This window comes from Homo sapiens, chromosome 1 (assembly GCF_000001405.40).
Source record: "Homo sapiens chromosome 1, GRCh38.p14 Primary Assembly".
In the NCBI taxonomy this organism is placed as follows: Eukaryota; Metazoa; Chordata; class Mammalia; order Primates; family Hominidae; genus Homo; species Homo sapiens.
Window position 1 is genome coordinate 231,489,455 of NC_000001.11, and position 6,000 is coordinate 231,495,454.

A 6,000-nucleotide genomic window follows, 5' to 3' on the forward strand; every position below is an offset into this window, starting at 1 on the left:
AAAGAATACAAATCTCATAAACACAGGAAATATAACAAAATATAATAAAATGTTATGATTAATACCAAACATGTCACTCATAGCAATAAATGTGAATAGGTTTAATTCACCTATTAAGACCAAAAGACTCTCAATTCGTCTGACAAAACTAAAGCACAGCTATATAGTAGATAGCAGGCACACCTAAAACAAAAAGATTCAGAAAGGGTAGGTGAGAATAAAAGGATGAAAAAACCATATACCAGGCAAATGGAAATAAAGAGGGAGCAGGGGTAGCAATATCTATATTAGATAATGTAGACCTGGAAATGTAAAAAAAAAACAAAAAACTTCTTATTAAATAACTCTTGGCTGAAATGAGAAATACAAGCTGAAATACATTTATTTACTTATTTTTTTTTGAGATGGAGTCTCGCTCTGTCGCCCAGGCTGGAGTAGAGTGGTGCGATCTCAGCTCACTGCTGGCTCTGCCTCCCCAGTTCACGCCATTCTCCTGCCTCAGCCTCCCCAGCAGCTGGGACTACAAGCGCCCGCCACCACGCCCGGCTAATTTTTTTGTATTTTTAGTAGAGACGGGGTTTCACCGTGTTAGCCAGGCTGGTCTCGATCTCCTGACTTCGTGATCGGCCCACCTCGGCCTCCCAAAGTGCTGGGATTACAGGCATGAGCCACCGTGCCTGGCTGAAATACATTATTTTAAACAAATAATAGATAATAAAAACACTACGTATTAGAATCTATGGGATGTATTTAAAACAGTACTTAGAGAAAAATTAATTACACTACCTTTTCTCTAAAAGTGAAAGGACAAAAATAATGAATTAAATTTATAGTTCAAACAATTAGAACAGTTTAAAACAAAAGAAAACAGTAAAGATAAAAGCAGAGATTAGTGAAATAAAGAATAGAAAAACAGTAGCTCTAACAAATTGAAATCTTGGCTTTTTGGGGGACGAAATAAAATAGGCAAACTACTAACTAAATTGATGAAGAACAAAGAAAGTATAATATGTAGAGTAAGAAGTGAAAAGGGCGAAATAACCTTTCAAACAAAAGAAATTTTAAAAGTCAGAAGAGACTACTTTGCTGACCTCTAGACAAATAAATTGGAAAATCTGGATGAAGTGCATAATTTCTTACAGAAATACATTTTACCAAAATTAGCTCTGTTAGGTTTACAAAATTTAACCAATTTCCATAGAAGAAATGAAGACAGTTATTAAGAAATCACCCTGCAAAAAAAAAAACGCCAGGCCCAGATGTTTTCACGAGTGAATTCTACCAAGTTTTGAAAGACCAGGTCCTAACAGCTTATAAATTATTTCAGAGCATGGAAAATGAAAGAAAATTTCCAAACTGTTTTTATGAAATAGGAATAATGTTAGTACCTAAACCAGACAAAGACAGTACAAAGAAAAAAAAACCCTACCGATCTATGTCACTTTTGAATATCAATGAAAAAATGTTAAGTAAATTATTAGCAAATAGAATCTAAAACCACACTAAGAAAATAGTACACCATTGCTAAGTGGGATTTATTTGGGGACTGCAAACTTGGTTCGATATTAGAAACTCCATTAATACTATTGTATTAGGGTTTTCTAGAGAAGCAGAACCAATAAAATACATATATCTATATAGTCATGTGCTGTATAATGATGTTTCCATTAACAATGGATTACATACAACATTGGCCTCATAAGATTATAAATGATTTTTTTTTTTTTTTTTTTTTGAGACGGAGTCTCGCTCTGTCACCCAGGCTGGAGTGCAGTGGCGCAGTCTCGGCTCACTGCAAGCTCCGCCTCCCGGGTTCACGCCATTCTCCTGCCTCAGCCTCTCCGAGTAGCTGGGACTACAGGCGCCCGCCACCACGCCCAGCTAATTTTTTTTTTATTTTTAGTAGAGACGGGGTTTCACCGTGGTCTCGATCTCCTGACCTCGTGATCCACCCGCCTCGGCCTCCCAAAGTGCTGGGATTACAAGCGTGAGCCACCGCGCCCGGCCTATAAATGATATTTTTACCATACATTTTCTATGTTTAGGTATGTTTAGATACACAAATACCCTTGTGTTACAGTTGCCTACAGTATTCAGTATAATAACATGTTGTACAGGTTTGTAGCCTAGGAGTAACAGGTTATGCCATATAGCCTAGGTGCGTAGTAGGCTATACGATCTAGGTTGGCGTACGTATGCTATATGGTGTTTGCACAATGACAAAATTGCCTAACAATGCATTTCTCAGAACATATTCCCAGCATTAAGTGATGCATGACAGTATATATAAAGAGATTTTTCATAGGTTATTGGCTCCCATGATTGTGGAGGCTGAGAAGCCCCATAATTGGCTATCTGCAAGCTGGAACTGAGGAAAGCCAGTGATATAGTTCCAGGCTAAGCCTGAAGGCTTGAGAACCAAGAGAATCTATGCTGTAAGTTCTAGCCCAAATTTGAAGGCCTGGGACCAATTTTCCAGCTCAAGCAGTCAGGCAGAGAGAGTGAATTCTCCCTTTCTAAGCCATTTTGTTTTGCTTAGGCTCTCAACGGATTAGATGACACCCACCCACACTGAAGAGGGCCATCAGCTTTACTTACTTAGCCTACCAATTCAAATGCTAATATTTTATGGAAACACTTTTGCAGACACATCCAGAATTATATTTAACCAAATATCTGGGCACCCAGTGGCCCACTCAAATTGGCATATAAAAGTGTCACAACTATATGTCACATTAGAAAATCCAAGGAAAAACTCATAATTATGTCCATCAATGCTGACAAGGTCTTTGACAAAAGTCAACAACCACTCGTTACTTTAAAAAAGAAACGCTCAAAATAGGAATTGAGACATACTTTCTTAACACAATATAGTATGTATAGCCTAGTCTTTTAGTCAGTATCTTATTTAATGAGAAAACACTAGAGATGTTTCCATTAAGATTTTAATTTTAAATTTTTGTGTGTACATAGTAGGCCTATATATTTATTGGAATTAATAGTCTTTACATTAAATTCAGCATGACTCTAAACTGTAATCTAATCTGGCGAGAATGAAATTCAGTGTGTTGTTACTGTATTTCTACTATCAATTCTGACATCTGTGTGACTTGATTTGTTCCTATTAAGATTTCTCGGCCGGGCGCGGTGGCTCACGCCTGTAATCCCAGCACTTCGGGAGGCCGAGGCAGGCGGATTAAAGGTCAAGAGATTGAGACCATCCTGGCCAACATGGTGAAACACCGTCTTTACTAAAAATACAAAAAAAATTAGCTGGGCGTGGTGGCGTGTGCCTGTAGTCCCATCTGAGGCTGAGGCAGGGGAATCGCTTGAACCGGGAGGCGGAGCTTGCAGTGAGCCGACATCGCCCCACTGCACTCCAGCCTGGCGACAGAGCGAGACTCCGTCTCAACAAACAAACAAACAAACAAACAAACAAACAAACAAAGATTTCTAAGAGAATAAACCTTCTGTGTCCCTCCTAGGAATTCTGTATGGTTGTAGGTATGTCCGGGGGTAGTAAAAAGGAGGGAACCGACAGGTCTTTCACACACACTTTCAACCCATCCTCCTATTTTCAGCCCCACACCTGACCTTCACTTTTGCCTGAAGTCTTAACCCTTTCTGTGATTTTGCAGGATGCCATCGACGAACTCTCAGCTTGTTCACTACCTCCTCCGTACATATAAGTAGTGTCTTTCTCTACCATGCTAACAGTTACGCTTACTTCCCTTTGCAGATTCTGAAAATCAGTTGAAATCTTGTATGTTACCATCTTTTTTCCTGATCTTTATTTTTATATGTCTATAAGTTTTTATTCCTTTATTAATATTTTATCATTTTACTATTAAACTTATTTTAATAAAGACTAAGGAAGGAAAGGAGATAAGAAATGTAGTCATTATCAACAGCTGGTGGTTATAACCATAATATAAATGTTAAGAAAATAATTCCTTGTTTCATCGAAGGAATTTAAATCATAAGAATACTCTTATTATGTGTGACTATGAGGTTGGAAAAGAACAACCATCTTTGTTTCAAAAATGACCAGAACATTTAGGTGATTTCCTCAAGGCCAAATTTATCTGTAAGATTTTTGTCCAAGAACAAAGAGTTTCTTTCCAGTTCTAATATTTTTGGGGAAAACCCCACAAGTTTTTGTGCAAATGGTAACATTTTTTAATTTTACGTAAGTTAATTGGTATGAGTCACTTCCTTTCATGGATAGAATACGTAAAGTCCCAGTGGGGTAACTGCTAGTAAGTTGTTCAGTATGGTGTGTTAGGATAAACGTTTTGGAGAAAAAAATATGTGTCCTGACCTTGGTAAGGGAAATAAATTTATCACATATAAGTTACCTCCATTCATTCTCAAGCACTTGATGGTTTCCTATTTTCATAGAAGTCCTATCACTGTGATCCTCCCACTTAGATATAGACTTTATAGTTTTCCCGTCTTTCACCACTCCCTTCTCCCTTTTCTATGAATGGAACGTAAGACATGTCTTTCTGTTCTGTGAAATCACCAAGTTCCCTCCCACCTCTGGGCCCTTATGTCTGCCTGAAATACTCTGACCTCTGCTGTCTTCATTTGGTTTCCTCCACACCGCAGATAAGATTGTTACTTCCCCCAGGGAATTTTTTTCTCAGCTTATTACAAGGAGAGTTAAGTGTTCCTATTGTATGCCTTCATAGCTTTCAATATTTTTCCTAATGCAGGCTTCTCATGTCCCGTTGTGACTGGCTACCTATTTACCCAAATCCTCTGATTAAATGTAAGCTCCAGAAGACCCAAATCATGTCAATTTCCTCACCATATTATTCTAATATTTACTTTGTATTTATACATCTTTTAATATAATCTACATATTTCTCTACAATCAAGAGGTTGCTTATTCATGAATAATAATTAAGACCATTTACTCATTAAACTATAGGCAGTCCTCCCTTTGCATAGTTCCAATATGCACAAATTCCAGTTATTAGCTTAAATAACACCAGTTCTTCAATAATCTGGTTTAAATTTCAGTTACTATAGTATTAATATATGAACTGTAATTGCTTAAAATGCACACTTTGCTGCTAGGTCTTCAGTCCTCAGATCACTAAGTAAATAAGAGATGCACATCACTGTTTTCAAAGTCTATCAGAGGCTGTTCCTATCAGTTCCTGTGCATCTTCTATTCAGTTCACACTCAGACAACAAAGCATGTAGTCATGTTGTCTCCTTGTCTTATGATAGACCCACGTGATATGTTACAAAATTGGATAATTGAAAGAGGACATAGCTAAAGATAAAAGTGCAAGAAAGTTTTCTGAGAAGATAGACTCTGGGGGGAAAAAAAGAAAGAAAAAAAGTGCTACAAAGAAAGAAAAGTGATAACATTGGAAGTGAAATTCAAATTACACATAAACAGAGTTACAGAAGAAAAAATTAACCATGGGAATGTTGACACTACCACCATTTGAGAGACTTAAGATATGCTGCCATAGCCAGTTAGTGAATGCAAACTTCACTAACTAAATGAAGAAAGTGATTGTGACTGAAAGGATGAAGATATCCCAGAAGACAGGACACCATTTAAAAAAACCTTCACACTAAAGGAACTCTCAAAGGGCAGTGTGGTGGCTCACTCCTGTAAACCCAGTGCTTTGGGAGGCCGAGGAGGGAGGATTACTTGAAGCCAGGAGTTAGAGACCAGCCTGGGCAACATAGCAAGACTCTGTCTCTACAAAATGATTTAAAAATTAGCTGGGGATAGTGGTATGCACCTGTAGTCTCAGCTACCCAGGAGGCTGAGGCAGGAGGATTGCTTGAGCCTAGGAGTTAAAAGGCTGCAGTGAACTAGGATCATGCCACTGGACTCCAGCCTGGACGACAGAGCAAAGGCCCTAAGGGACTCTCAGACATAATCCACCATGTTGAAAGTTCAGATGATAAAATATTGAAGCTGATCCAAACTTAGAAAGGAATATGACAATTTGCCAAGGCATAGAAACA